This window comes from Homo sapiens, chromosome 8 (genome assembly GCF_000001405.40).
Source record: "Homo sapiens chromosome 8, GRCh38.p14 Primary Assembly".
NCBI classification, from domain to species: Eukaryota; Metazoa; Chordata; class Mammalia; order Primates; family Hominidae; genus Homo; species Homo sapiens.
Genome location: NC_000008.11, coordinates 93,704,075 through 93,720,466, shown reverse-complemented (window position 1 = coordinate 93,720,466; position 16,392 = coordinate 93,704,075). Strand labels below are relative to the sequence as shown.

At 36.7% G+C, this 16,392-nt stretch overlaps 1 protein-coding gene across 10 annotated transcripts in view; it reads right to left on the bottom strand.

Annotated features, from left to right (window-relative positions):
* Positions 1-16,392, bottom strand: part of CIBAR1 (CBY1 interacting BAR domain containing 1) — a 30,978-nt gene that overhangs the window by 11,061 nt on the left and 3,525 nt on the right. For 3 of the 10 annotated variants that reach the window (NR_104268.2, NR_104267.2, NM_145269.5), the window contains exons 4-7: positions 15,457-15,558; positions 12,451-12,456; positions 10,592-10,696; positions 1,679-1,792 (exon numbers count right to left, since the gene is read on the bottom strand). Coding sequence is in view for 3 of the 10 variants with exons in the window: in NM_145269.5 (NP_660312.2) it covers positions 1,679-1,792; positions 10,592-10,696; positions 12,451-12,456; positions 15,457-15,558 (327 nt within the window). In the remaining 7 variants the exon portion in view is untranslated. The other 7 variants (NR_156451.2, NR_156452.2, NR_156453.2 and 4 more) reach the window with 7 other exon arrangements.

Below are 16,392 nucleotides of genomic sequence, written 5' to 3'. Positions count from 1 at the left end.
TATATAACTGATATAAAACAAATTAGATTTTGACATTAGAAACACATATACACATACTGTAATATGTACTTTCTTCATTCTCTTTAACCTATATTCTGGTTTTAAGTTTCCTGGAGCCCGTGGAGTAATGGGACAGGAAGGCTCAGAGGGTCTCTTTACTGATAGTTAAGATACAAAAAAAACTAGGCCAGGCGCAGTGGCTCACGCCTGTGATCCCAGCACTTTGGGAGGCCAAGGCGGGCGGATTATGAGGTCGGGAGTTTGAGAGCAGCCTGGCCAACATGGTGAAACCCCATCTCTACTAAAAATAGAAAAATTAGCCGGGCATGGTGGCAGGCACCTGTAATCCCAGCTACTAGGTAGGCTGAGGCAGGAGAATCACTTGAACCCAGGAGGCGGAGGTTGCAGTGAGCCGAGATCGCACCACTGCACTCCAGACTGGGTGACAGAGCAAGACTCTGTCTTGGAAGGCGGGGGAAGATACAAAAAAAAAAAAAAAAAATCGGGGGAATCTTCAAATTTGTTAAGTGGTAGACACTTCCATATTTTATTAATACAGAACTCTTGTTATATGTGGGATTACATGGCTTTTTTCACTTCTATATTAGAGATGAGATGGGGAAAGTATGTCTTGAACAGTTACTTCAGCATAAATACTTTCGTACCTTCATTTTTTCCGTTTGGAAGGTAAGAGGGTTGGATATTTACAGAATTGCTCATTGAGGACCAGTCTTTGATATTTACTTGCTCTAATGTTAGTTGGCCAATCAGAATTATTTGCATTTAACTAAAACCATCAGCATAAAGCAAGCTTACATAACCTACATTTATTTCATAGCTTAGTGATTACATTACACAGTCAGTCAGAATCCTGATTCTGCTATTTACTAGCTAAGTGGCCACAAATAAGTTATTTAAATCCTCTAAGCCTGCTTCTGTAGTTGTAAAATGAGAGTTATAGCAGCACCTACCACCTAAGATTTTGAGGTTTGAATGAGAAAATGCATGTAAAGCTTTGGGCATTGTGCATGATGTAAACACTCAAATGTTACTGAAGTCAATAAATGTTAACTATTTTTTAGCACACTTCAGTGGGCTTATATCACCAGTCAAAATGATACACAGTATTTTATTTAATGGCTTTATGTAAATTATATTTTACTAGCTATTAATAAATTAACTCTTGGAACTTTTGCCATGGTTAATTTGAAAAATTGAAAATAAATGGAAAATCATAAAAGTTCATCTATTTTGGATTACACATAATAACCACTATAGTGTTCAAAGTTAAGATACTAATCATGGCTGGGCACGGTGGTTCATGCCTGTAATCCCAGCACTTTGGGAGGCCGAGGTGGGCGTATCACTTGAGATCAGGAGTTCAAGACCAGCCTGGCTAACATGGTGAAACTGCATCTCTACTAAAAATACAAAAATTAGCTGGGCATGGTGGCGGGCACCTGTAATCCAAGCTAGTTAGGAGGCTGAGGCAGAAGAATTGCTTAAACCCACGAGACGGAAGTTGCAGTGAGCTGAGATCACACTACTGCACTCCAACTTGGGCAACAGAGTGAGACTCTGTCTCAAAAAAAAAAAAGATATTAATCACATACTAATGTTCTCTTTTAAATATTTCCACATTAACAGAAGAACTGAGCTTAGATAGACATAGTCCTACCTCTAAATCTTCATCTTCATCAATGTTTTGTATATTCTGGTAGGCAGCAGTGTAGACCTCTAAAGCTTTGCCGTGAAATAACATTTCGATTGTGATAAATTCAGAAAATATAGTCTAAAAAAAACCAAAGAATTGAATTTAAACAATGATTTAAATTTCTTTATGAATATAGTAACTTTATTCCTCACTATAGTCTTGGTATTTTATAAAATACAGAAGTATCTGTTTTTCTATAGGGTAAATAAAGTACAAAAGATAACTGAAAAACAGTTGTGAAGACCTTTTGCTGCCAAACCTTCAAATAATACAAAGTATTTCCTTTATCACCATCCACTTCCCTCTTATTTTTTATTTTAGTTAGTTCTCTTTATACCTAGTAATTGACATTTATAATAACATAAGATCTGACTAAAATGTATGCTACTATATAATTTTAATACCATATGCTTATTAAGTATTAGAGCAGTTCAGTTATGAAGCTGGTGTTTTAGCAATTCCAACTGATGTTTAAACAGGAGAACGTTTTTTAAACAGGAATTATGTTCCACACTGTATGCTACTTGTATTCTCTAAACATAAAGGAGTTACTTGGTAGTAATGACACTCCTGCCACTGATGATAACACCATATATTTGCATAGAGCGTTCTAGTTTACAAATATTGACTTGCCCAGTGTTGCTCACAGGTCAGACTCTTTAGACACAGATCTGATTCTAAGGCTACAAGGTTATAGCTCATTTAAGGTTTTTTTGCTATTGCCCACTGAACTGTGCTGTTCTTGCCGGAATCAATCATTTCCTTCACAGATAAACCGTGCAGGTAACCTCTATAAGCATGATGGAAACCTATGACAAGGAAGATCATGAACAAAGAGTATGAGTGAAGATGTGCATGTTGATCTAAGCAGGGGGTGAGGTAATCAGTAGGTGTGGAAAAGATGGAAACCAGGCAAGTTTTTAATAAATATGATCTTATCATTTTGTTAATTATAACAAAATAAGCAATGTAGAGAGAACTGGGCTGAATAAGAACAAGGCAGAAAATACTCAAGCATGGATTATATTAGTAGGCAGTAGTCAAATACACATTTTCCTTCATCCCTGCTCTCCTAAGATAACCCAGAAAGGAGTGGTCATATACTTTGGAGGATAGCCATATAGATACTTATCAGTGGCCTGTGATTCTTTCCTCCAGCCCCATTCTTCCTAGATGATTGGAAAAACACTTAAGGGAGCATTAAGAGGCTCTGATTGCTACTCAGTGATATACGTCAGTCTGAGAGGACAGGGCCTAGGTAAAAAAGACTTGTAACGATGATTCACAATGACCCTTACTGTCACTTCATGTAAGTTATAGAGGGCTCAGGTATACCAGGCTGGCAACTGATGGATAAACGGCATTATGCTAAAATACAATTTTGGATTTCATATTAAAGTATCTCTAGATACCCAGGAATACCTTAGAGGAGGAATGGCTTCTGACCAGGGCTGGGACCTACTCTTAGTTGTTAGTGTCCTTATGATAGTTGCAAACCAGAAAGGAGTCAGGTTTTCTTGAGTGTGGAAACTCCTAGAGGGAAAACTGAACGAAGAGTCGATGACAAGCCAATACACCCATTTTTAATGCTCAAGAAGTAAACTAGCCAGGCACAATGGCATGTGCCTATAATCCCAGCTACTTGGCAGGCTGAGGGAGGAGGTTCCCTTGGGTCCAGGTGTCCCAGACCAGCTTGGGCAACATTTGGAGACTTCTGTCTCAACAAGAACAACAAAGTCAACTAGCTAAATTGGATGTAATGACTAACAGTAAAGCATCCATCTTGTTTGATTAACAAAAGAGATCTTTAACGAAAAGGTTTTAAGAACATTTTCGCAAAGAGGAAATGACAGCTCTCCAGCGTATAGGATATTCAATAAAGGATGTAAGAGAACTGTTTATCCATTTGAAAATTAAAGTTATATATCCATGTCGTACCACATGCAAAACACAGCTGCCAGCTAAATATTTAATGTTTAAAGTATTTTAAAAATCAAGAAAATATAAGCAAGTATTTATATAACCTAGGGGATGAAAACCTTTCTAAGCATGACACCAAGGAAGAAACCAAAGATAAGAAGATGGATTTGGCAATAAAAAGAAAACTTAGAGGTGGCAAAAACACTAAGCAGTAAAATGAGAAAATACATTTGCAACATACTTTCTCTTTAATTTGAAGGGCTAATTTTCTCAATATAAAGAATTTTTAGAAATTAGTAAGAAATTCCAACATCCAACAGAAATATAGGTTAAGGAAAAATATAATTTACTAAAGGAATGTATCGCTAAATACATTTAAAAAGCTCAGCAGTAATAACACAAATGATACTGATTTTTTACCTATTATTAAAAATACTGCAACTTATGGTGTCAACATTGTCATATTAAAAAAAAAAAACAACAAACACAGGCCGGGTGCAGTGGCTCATGCCTGTAATCCTGGCACTTTGGGAGGCCGAGGCAGGTGGATCACCTGAGGTCAGGAGTTCTAGACTACCCTGGCCAACATGGTGAAACCCTGTTTCTACTAAAAATACAAAAATTAGCTGGGCATGGTGGTGCACGCCTGTAATGCCAGCTACTTGGGTGGCTGAGGCAGGAGAATCACTTGAATCCGGGAGGCAGAGGTTGCAGTAACCCAAGATCATGCCACCATACTACAGACTGTGTGACAGAGCGAGACTCTGTCTCAAAACAACAACAAAAAAACAAACTCACCATTGTACCTGTGCTTATGCAAGGTTTAGTAGGAACGTAAATTGGTTTAACCTTTGTGGACAGAAGTTTTAAAAATATATATTAAAATTAAAAGTATGCTCTGAAGGAGGAACTCCACTTCTGGTAATTTATCTCAAGAGAATAACTGGGCCAGCACAAAGGCTGCTGTTTAACAATGTGTAATGATGCAGTGACAGCTACAATTGCAAAAATAACCTAGACATTCACCAATGAGGACTGGTTAAATGAACTAGTATAACCATACTGCAGAATATCATAAAGATAACAAAAAAATGATATGGATCTGTTTCTTGGCATAAATATATCCATAAGTTTTAAGAAGAGATGCTATATATACGGTGGTCCCATTGATGTATAACTGTTAGGACTAAAAATAGTACCTTCCTCATAATGATGTTTTGAGGAATTAATGAGTTTATTCATGCAAAATGCTTAGAATGGTACCTGGCACACAGACAATGTTTAAGAAATGTTTGTTATTGTTATTACTATGTCTCTGTATATATGCATAGGAAAAATCTGGAAGGATAAAATAAAAAATGAATATTTTTGGGTGGTGAGACTAAATTTTTGTCTAATTTTATGGATAAGTTTTATGATTTATATTTATAATAAAAATAAAGCTATAAAAATTAATTATGATGTTTCTTGCTCATGTCAGCTACTTCACTACATACTGAGTTCCCATCCCCATTTGTTACAGGAGCAACTCCTGGTTAAGTACCTTTTTTGTAACTGTGAAATTCCCTTGACATTCATCATATACTGATGACTTTTCCTAATACATGGAAACAAACAGGATTGTGATTTTTCTCTCATTTTGTACACTAAGTTCTATGCCAGCCGATTTCAGAGAGACACTCTGCAAAGTTCCTATGAAAAGTCTTCAAAAATGTATTACCTTGCTGTTTAATACCAATACCAAAATTCAAATGGACTTATCAATTAAACTCACCTCAAACACAGTAATGCACTCACAGTTATGAGCAGTGCTCACTACTGCCAATCATTTCTGCTTCCAGAATGGTTAAAGGAGCCACAAACTCTGCCCTTATCAGAAGCAGTAGCCTGATAACAGGTAAGAATAGGAATGTTCCGTTTCTCCCCAAATTAAGAGTGGTATCAATAATCTGACTTTTCCAGGCATTTATCTCACAGAAATGTTTATGAGACATGCTAAGATCAACATGGTAATATCTGACTATTGTTTTTATTAGAAATAAGGGGGCCAGCCAGGCACAGTAGCTTACACCTGTAATCCCAGCACCTGGGGAGGTTGAGGTGGGAGGATTGCTTGAGCCCAGGAGTTTGAGACAAGCCTGGGCAACACAGGGAGACACCAGCTCTATTAAAAAAAAAAAAAGTAAGGGGGCTATAATGTAACCCTTATTGACTGATCTTTGAGGCTACTGTTGTGAGATTTCTACATCCCTCTTTATTATAAAAGATCCCAAATGCGGCTTTACTTGGAAAGGAAGCAATTTGACAGTGATGAGGAATGATGTGCAGAATGGAGATTCAGAACCCTAACAGACTCTGGTATTGATATCTAGTGCTCATATTTCTGGGAGTCTGCTAGGGTTATGGGAGTTTGCATTTAAATTGTAGGTTGTTGCAGAAAACAGAATTTATATGTGGAAAATTGTAACGAATCCACTAAAAAACTATTAGAACTAATAATCAAGTTTGGCAAGGTTGTAAGACATAAGTCAGTATACAAAAATCAACTGTATTTCTATACATTTGTGACAATCTGAAAATGAAATTAGGAAAACAAATCCATTTACGATAGCAACAAGAAGTATAAAATACTTAGGAAGAAGTTTAACAAAAGATGTGCACAATTTATATTCTGAAAACTACAAATAGTGTTTAAAGAAATTAAAGAATATTAAAATAAATGGAAAAATATCCCATGTTCATGGACTGGAAGAATTACTCTTAAGATGTCAATACTCCTCAAATTGATCTACATATTTGATACAATCCTTGTAAGAACCCGAACTGACTTCTTTGTAGAAATTGACAAATTGATTCTAAGATTCATACAGGATTGCCATAGATCCAGAATAGCCACATCAATTTTAAAAAAAGAAGAAAGTACAAAGACTCACATTACCTGATTTAAAAACATACCATAAAGCAATGTTAGGACAGTGTGGTATTGACATAAGGATAGACACATAGATCAATGAAAAGGAAAGGGAGCCCAGAAGTAAAACCACATCAACTGATTTTCAACAAAGATGCCAAGACCATTCAATTGAGGAAAGAATAGTCCCTTCAACAAATGGTGCTGCAACCAGACAGTCATATGCAAAAGAATGAAATTTAACCTTTACAAAATTTAACCATATATAAAAATTAATTCAAATGGATCAAAGACATATAAGGGCTGAAACTATAAAATTGTTAAGAGAACATAGGAATAAATATTCATGACCTTGGATTTGGCAGTGGATTCTTAGCTATAACATCAAAGCACAAGTAAGAAAAGAGAGATAAATTGGATTTCATGAAAATTAAAAACCTGTGCTTCAAAGACACTATCAAGAAAGTGACAAGGCAACCCACAGAATGGGAAAAACTGCAGATTATCTGATAAGGGACTTCTATCTAGAATATATAAAAATCTCTCACAACTCAGAAATAAGACAATCCAGTTAAAATAAGGGTAAAGGAGCCGGGCATGGTGGCTCACGCCTGTAATCCCAGAGCTTTGGGAGGTGGAGGTGGGCAGATCACCTGAGGTCAGGAGTTCACGACCAGCCTGGCCAACATGGTAAAACCCCATCTCTACTAAAAATACAAAAATTAGCCGGGTGTGGTGGTGCATGCCTGTAATCCCAGCTACTTGGGAGGCTGAGGCAGAAGAATCACTTGAACCTGGGAGGTGGAGGTTGCAGTGAGCCGAGATCGCGCCACTGCACTCCAGCCTGGGCGACAGAGCGAGAATCTGTCTCGAAAAAAAAAAAAAAAAGAAAAAAAAGGAGAAAAAAAGGGTAAAGGATCTCAATAGCCATTTGTTCAAGGCAGATATACACAAATGGCCAAAAAGCATCATCAGGCCAGGCACAGTGACTCACGCCTGTAATGCCAGCACTTTGGGAGGCTGAAGTGGGAGGATCACCTGAGACCAGGAGTTCAAAACCAGCCTGGGCAACATAGTGAGACCTCGTCTCTATCTTAAGAAAAAAAAAAAAAAAGCATCATCATGGAATGTAAGTCAAAACTATAATGAGACGACTACTACAATAAAACTACTACTTCAAATCCACTAGGAGAACTACAATCAAGAAGTCTGATGAATAGCAAGTAGTGAGGATGCAGAGAAGTTGTAACTCTCATATACTGCTGGTGGGCAAACACAATGGTGCATTCACTTTAGAAAATGGTCTGGCACTTCCTCAAATGCTTAAGCATAAAGTTACAAATAATCCAGCAATTCCACTCCTGGGTATATATCCAAAAGAAATGAAAATATATGTCTACATAAAGACTTGTACATAAATGTTTATATTAGCATTCACAATAGCCAAAAGGTGGAAACCACCGAAATGTCCATGAAATGAGTAAACAAAATGTGGTATATCCATACAATGGAATACTATTTGGTCAAAAAAAGGAATGAAGTACTGATACATCCTACAACATGGATATGCCTTGAAAGCAGGCTAAGTGAAAGAAGCCAGTCACAGAAGTCAACATATTTGATGATTCCATTCTATGAAATGTGCAGAATAGCTCAATCCATAAATTAGTGGTGGCTGCTTAGGGTTGGGAGGCAGGCAGGGGGGCAAAAGCTAAACTGTACAAGGTTGAAGTGATGACAATGTTCTAACATTGAGTGGTGATATATATCTGTGTATACACTCAAGACCAGAGTTGCACAGTGAATTATAGCCCAATGTTTTTAAAGTGTAAGTTTCTTCCTGTCTTTTAAAAAATTTTTCTTCTGTGACCAAGAGACTTCCTAAAATCAAGAGACTTTCCTCTTTAGGGGGCACAATAGAGAAAAGCTCAGAAGCTCTTTTCTTCTCTGTGCACCCTCCACCATACAGCACCTTACTCCATCTCCTGTTGCTTCAGGAAATCCAAGGTAGCAGGAATTGTAGCTGGGAATGCTGCACTCACTTTCTCTGTGGGGTTTGGTACTGTGTAATGCTCAGGGAATTAAAACCAGCATCCAGGCAGAACATAGAAGTGAGCCCAAAGATCAGAATAGAGACAAATTTCCATGTGTAAATGAAAAATTTGCAGGTCTGAGGAACAATGATGGAGCAAGGAATCAGTTTCCCATCACTAAAGAAGCCTTTATCCAACAGTGGAATCAGGCATAGCTCACAAGTCTCCATTCCCATTTTTCAGGTTAAGGCTAATTAATTATCTTAATAATTCTCCTTCCTTGCTCAGTTTAAGAGGGAATGTCAGCAATTATAAAACTTTATACCCTGACCATACTCTCCTAGCTTGGTAAAGGAATTTGTCTCGGGACAGCCTCCTGAGATGTTCTTCTGTGGGTAGCAATCTACTATTACATAGAAGAGTACAGAGCCTGTGACTAAATTGAGCTCAGAAATCCTTTGAAACTATGACAGGAAATTAAAGAAAATAAAAGATGTAAATGAATACTGTTTCATGGATTTCAGAGATAAATAATATAATTAAGTGGCAGATAATGCTTATTTTATTGAAAGAATATAGCTTATGAAGGAAGATTTGTCAATAGTAGTAAAATAAAAACAAACATATTTAAAGCCTGTTACAGGAAAATCTTCAGTGAGCCAAAAAGAGCCTTAGATGAGTTTTAGTCTGTAAGATGGTCATAAGAGGTCCTTCAAGTGTTTCCAAGATGGTTATCAAAAAGACCTGCTGAATTTCATGATCCCCAAGAAAGTTTCAAATCTACATATGTGTTAGAATAAGGCAATTCTTGTGATTTTGTTGACTAAGATACCATATCATAGTAGATGCAAATTTACGTGGTTGGCTACTATTACCCTGTTTACTTATTTGATGATATGTAGTTACTACAAAATATTAAGCTATAAAAATTAATGACTGTATTATAACAGAAACCACAGATTAAAAAATTGGTTTATAGCTCCTATTTCTGGCTATTGTACTTTGGGTAAAATATTTTATGTCTCTGCTTAATTTCTTTTTTTTTTTTTTTTGAGTCAGAGTCTCGCTCTGTCACCCAGGCTGGAGTGCAGTGGCATGATCTTCTTGGCTCACTGCAACCTCCACCTCCTGGGTTCAAGTGATTCTCCTGCCTCAGCCTCCCAGGTAGCTGGGATTACAGGTGTGTGCCATCACGCCTGGCTAATTTTTGTATTTTTAGTAGAGATGGAGTTTCCCCACATTGGCCAGGCTGGTCTCAAACTCCTGACCTCAAGTGATCTGCCCGCCTTAGCTTCCCAAAGTGCTGGGATTACAGGTGTGAGCCACTGTGCCTGGCTGCTTAATTTCATAACACCACCTCATCCTCATGGAGTTGCTGTGAAGACTGCAAGAATTTATGTAAAGTGCCTGGCATATAAAAACACAATAAATGTTAGTTCCCCTTGATTAAATAGTATTTGTGATAAAAAGCTGAATATCTGGCTTCTGGTTGGAAATGTTGGTCTTTTATATATCACTGTTTCTACTAAAAAAAAAACCAATACATTTTATTTGTAATATTTTTTGCTTTTTCTGTTTTCTTTTTGTTGTTGTGGGGTGGGGTGGGCAGGGTCTGGCTCTGTTGCCCAGGCTGGACTGCAGGGAGTGCAGTGGCACGGTCATGGCTCACTGCTGCCTCGACCTCCCCAGGCTCAGGTGATCCTCCTGCCTCAGCCCCCTAAGAAGCTGGGTCTACAAGCATGTGCCACCACACCTGGCTAGTTTTTTGTAGAGATGGGGTTTTTCCATGTTGCCCAGGCTCATCCCAAACTCCTGGCCTCAACTGATCCACCTGCCTTGGCCTCCCAAAGTGCTAGGATTACAGGCATAAGCCACTGTGCCCGCCCCCTTATTTATCATATTTTCTTTATAAGGGGTATTATGGGCTAAAAAATTTAGAGTAATTTAAATTTTTCATTAAAGTAAAAAAAAAGGTTAAAAACATGTTTTGAACCCTAACAGTTACTTTATTACCTTTATATCCTTCATTTTCTGCCTTTCAAAGTTGTTAATAGTTTCCTCCAGATGACGACTTGTTCGGCTAGCATCCATTGCAGCTCTCTGTAATTCCGTTTCTGCCTACAAAAGTATTCCCCAACCAAGGATATAAAAAAAATCAAATGAGAATTCATTCAATTGAGCCTACTGGTAAATTCTACCATTGCAGTACTGGCTTTTTGGCATAACAGTGTAAATTGTTAATATTATATTTTACCATATATAATAAAATGATCTATGTAAGCACATGCAGAATAAAGAACTTTATTTAGTGATATGATTCATGATCTAGAAAAAAAACCCTAAGAACAAAAACTACCCCCAAATCCTTCCCTTTCTGTCTATAAAATAATTTTTTTTCCAGACACCCTTGGATAACCTACTGTAAAACCATCTCCCATATTTTCTACTGCTTCCCTCTATTTCACTACCTGTGCCATTTATCAAAAATTATTTTTCTTTTGTCTCTCTCTCCATTAGCCATTTCTCCCCTGAAAAGGACTTATGACTTAGTAAAAATTATTTCAATTCTCTCAATTACAGATTATCTCTTTTTTATTTATTTTTTTTTGAGATAGAGTTTTGCTCTTGTTGCCCAGGCTAGAGTGCAGTGGCACGCTCTCGGCTCACTGCAACCTCCGCCTCCTGGGTTGAAGTGATTCTTCTGCCTCAGCCTCCTGAGTAGCTAGGATTACAGGTGCATGCCACCACACCCAGCTAATTTTTTGTATTTTTAGAAGAGATGGGGTTTCGTCACATTGGCCAGGCTGGTCTTGAATTCCTGACCTCAAGTGATCCACCAGCCTCAGCCTCCCGAAGTGCAGGGATTACAGGTGTAAGCCACCGCACCTGGCCTATTATCTCTTACTCTTTATGCTTATCTCATAGGACTATTGTATGGATTACATGAAATCATCTTTGGAAATGACTAAGGAGAGTGGCACACAGTAGAGAGACAGCTATGACAATTTCTACCACTGAGAGTTTGATTTTTGAAATCATTACAACATTGAGGTATTTTGAGTTAGCAGGTATATAACCAAAGACTCTTTCTTTCTACCTTGCTTACTTCTACTTGTTCTCCAAATGCATTAAATATTCCTAATTCTATAATATCCTCATCAGGTGGAATACAATATACACTACAAATATTTCAGCATGGGACTTCTACTTGTAGATTCTTCTTTACAAGACAACCATGTTACACTGCTTCTATTTAGTTAATGCTTATTACAAAAAATAAATACACTAGTAACTAAAATTAGATGGCAAGTCTAACACGCTTGGACATGTACTCATATTATCTGGATCTGTTCTGTCCAATCAATATGGTGGCCACTAGCCATATGGGGCTATTTTCATTAAAACTAATTAAAATTAAATAAAAAATTAAAAACTAGCTCCAAAGTTACTCTAGTTGTATTTCAAGAATTCAACAGCCATATATAGTCAGTAGCTATAGTAATATTTCTAATCTAACTGTGTATCTCTCTTTAAGCATCTCGTCTGCTAGAACAAAAGTTGCCCAAAAACATTTAAGAGTTTTTCTTAAAAGGTAACACAGAAATTTAAAAAGACACAGCCCAGTTTTCGGATTAAATTCTTCCTAATAAAGTTTTGTTTCTTGTGCTAATATTATATTTACTCAAAAGTCACATATATCATCATTTAATAATTAATCATAGAAAAAGTTTGCATTTGTTGTCAAAGTTCTGTGATAAGTAATACTGTGACATTTAGCTTTTGCTTTCTTTTTCAAGAAAATGTATAAATTGAAACAAGTAAAAGGGTTTACTATAAGGATCCATTTCTTGACACACCACTTTATTACCCACCTGTGACTGAAATTTTTCATAAAGGAAAAAATACATTTCAAAGAGAGTATAACAGCTTTTTCAATAAATTTATATACTCATAGAATTATATACACTTACAATTAGGTTATATATTAATTGTAACCATATATCAATTATGGTTACTTATGTAATTCAGTTCATTCAACTACACATTTTCAAGATACTAAGTACTTAAAATTATATTCATTTATACCTCTCTGTGTTTGTATATACATTTACAATATGGGGTGTAGAATTTTAAAAAATCATACAAACTTTCAACTTAATCATAACCAGGAATCAAAAACATTTCTCTGTATTTCTGTGTTTGAGATTCTTTAAACCACAACTTCATCACAGGAAATTCAAAGATAAAATAGAGCTCCTTTGAAGACTTACTACTATGAAAAAATCTCTAACAGTTATTTGATACATGTTAACCTTGTGCTAATGAGAATATTCAAGCAGACTAATTCCTAATACTGTTTATTACACATGACTGATGCAGCTTTTTACTTGTGACTACTTCCTTTTGACTCATGTCTTTACCCTCCTCATTTATTGATATTTTCATTTTAAAATTTAGAAGAGTAAGTAGAGTTGGCTAAATCAGGGAAGCATGGGGAAACAGAAGCCATAACCGGGATATGTGTAGCTTCATCTTCTATCACCCTCCAGCAACTACTATTTATTTCTGAAAGTCTCAAATCCCTTTACTTGAGCATAGCAACTCACCTAAAGTAACACATCCATTTTTAGCAAAGAGAATATAGATTTCTAATATTTCTTCTTTTCACTGAAAATTCTTCAAAATTCTATAATATACCAACTTGAGTAGGAAATGCTTTGGATTAAAATACTAAGATACAACTCCATGAATACAGATATCAGTATATTAAATGGAATTAATTAAGAGTTCAAAATGATTTTTAAAAGGGTAAGCCAGATTGGTATTTCTCACACTGCATTATAGGAAGCTTGTTCAGGAGTCACCTGGAGCCCTACTTGGGGGGTGAGCAGGCAGAGCCATGGGATTCTTCTTTTCCCTATCCTCTCTATCAGAGGGACTCCATTTTATCTTACATATCAAACTTAAACATACTTCTACATAGATGAATTTTAAGAGTTTATCCTGGGAAATATGCCATAATACTATGATCGAATATTTGTATATTTATATTGACTACATTTGTATGTAGATTGTCCTTCATGTTTTGGTCTCAGGTTGTCAAAATACACAAGTTGCAGATCTTACCCAGTGAGCACACTGACTCACCTGTGGCAGTAATCTCTTAGGTTATATTTATTTCCTCACCATGTGAACCCAAAGACCTGCTTCATCTGTGCTCTAAGATTATCTCCCTTCCACAGCAGTGTTTACAGCACAGCATCCAAGTCAGAAAAATGTTTGTCTTAGGAATAGATTCATTTCTGTGTTTACTGTAGACACCAGTACTCCTGATTCAATCTTGCCAACTACTCAGGATTCCAGATGTCTTCATGTATCACCACCTCCCCAACTCCAGGCCACAAAGAACAAAACAAAACAAAAAATTTTCATCCCTAGCTTAATTCTTAAACACTGGTGAACCCCCCCACCCACCCTGCCCCATAGCCTCTGCCTTGATCTCTAGTTATCAGTCATAAATTTTCCAGCATTCTCTGGTTTGTCTGACTTGCTTAAAACACAGATTCTATAATCTCCATTTGCGGATCTTATGCCACTATGACTATCTAGATATTTCTGTCCCAGTCTCCAGTGGGCACTCCCAGCCCTATGGCTGCCCATTTTTGTTTAGTACAAAGTTGGGCTTCTGTACCTTTGGTCCAAAGGAAGAAGGACCAAGCAACTGGCGCAGCCCCAAATCGCTGCTCAAGAGACTCCCCTCAGGAATGGAGGTGTTCTGGAACCTCAAATGCTCTCAAAGAGCCACTCCTCATGTGGTTTCTGGCTGAGCTGGGCAGTAACAACCTTAAGGAAGCAGGAAGGAGACATATAGAAGAAGGAATGGGAAAAAGAGGCAGTAGGGATGTTAGTGCTTTCTTTCTCTTTTTCTTTTTTTTTTTTTGAGATAGTCTCGCTTTGTTTTCCAGGCTGGAGTGCAGTGGTGTGATCTCAGCTCACCACAACCTCCATCTCCCACGTTCAAGCGATTCTCTTGCCTCAGCCTCCCAAGTAGCTGGGACTACAGGTGTGTACTACCATGCCTGGCTAATTTTTGTATTTTTAGTAAAGACAGGGTTTCACTATGTTGGCCAGGCTGGTCTCGAACTCCTGACCTCATGATCTGCCTGCCTCGGCCTCCCAAAGTGCTGGAATTACAGGCACGAGCCAACACGCCCAGCCAGATGTTAGTGCTTTCTACACAGTCCTACCCATCTCAGTTGCTGGCAATTAGGCACTATTTTGTATGCTTTTGTTTACTCACGAACAAGGCACATTGTAGTTTAAGAAAGTCATGTTTAACAGAAGAACCTTGTTATAGTAGACAGTCCTTTCTAGGTTTGTGTCCAACTTGGATCTTAATTATACTCTTAAGACTCCTGAGGTTAACTGGCTGGAAGTCATGATGTCACATAGTTGTTTTATTTCTAAAAGATGAAGGAAATTAAATGGGAAAATTTTCTTTCCTTTTCTCAAAGCAGGGCATAGAGGACACTGATATATTAGGATTAACAATAGATCTTTAATTGTAGAATTAATATTTAGTCATCACCATGTGAAAATAAAATTCAGAAATTTGAATTTACTGTTTATAAAAACATCTGAATTTTTTGTTTGTTCGTTTGCAAAGTCTACTGTGTAAAACAATATAAGGGGATTTGAATTAGGTGGCGTAACCTCTTTAAAATTTCTATAGTGAGAATTCCTAAATGCATTTCTTTTCAATCTTTATATTCAAATTCTCTACTCGTTTAAAAGTAAAAATGCACAATTTCTATATACATTTACTTTTGTACTCCATACCTTAAACATTTTTTTAAAGACCCAAATTCAAAGGATACAATAACATGTCGATCAGATGGGTTTCGCTGACGTGTTCTTTCTAACTGAGTTAATTGCTTAGCTTCTCGATTCCTTGCTGTGAGTGTTGCTTTGAGGTCATCCTGCAAATTGGCATTTTTTTGTTAGTAAAAATGTCTGACTTAAGAAAATTCAGTTTTAAGAATGGAAGAATTCTTTTAAGAATTGTTTTAAGAATGGAAGAATACTTCTTGTGTGATCCTGGTACCATTACCACAGGAATTACAAGTATTACATAATTAGTGTCTATGTATGTGAGAATGTGTTTAATATTCTCTCAAAATAATGACACAATTTCAGTGCAAAACTATTAACCATAATAGATATATGCATATAAATGTGTAATTTTGATTGCGGTAGTGGTTACATGGGTATAAACATTTGTCCAAAACTCAATGATCACTTAAAATGGAAGAATTTTATCGCACATAAATCAAGGGCTCCCAACCCCCAGGCCTATTAGGAACTGGGCCAGCACAGCAGGTGAGTGGTGGGCGAGCTAGCATTAAGGCCTGAGCTCTGCCTCTTGTTAGATCAGAGGCAGCATCAGATTCTCATAGGAGTGCAAACCCTATTGTGAACTAAAGAAAAATTGTCTTCCACAAAACCGGTCCCTGGTGCCAAAATGGTTGGGGACTGCTGATGTAAATTATCAATAAAGTAACTTTTAAAAATAGAACTCTCTCACACATTTTAAAAGTCTAAATGCTATCGCTTTAAAGAAAAACTTATATTCATATAGTAAAGCAATTTCTGTCCATATATTTTTCATAATTATTTTAAAGTTTCCATAATAATGTCTATATTGCTACAGTATACTTAATAAGCTCATTAAAACTATTTCATTATTCTTAAAGATCTAAGTGATCTTTCAGAGTAAAAAGAATGACTATATACTACTTTGTATTTCTTTTCTT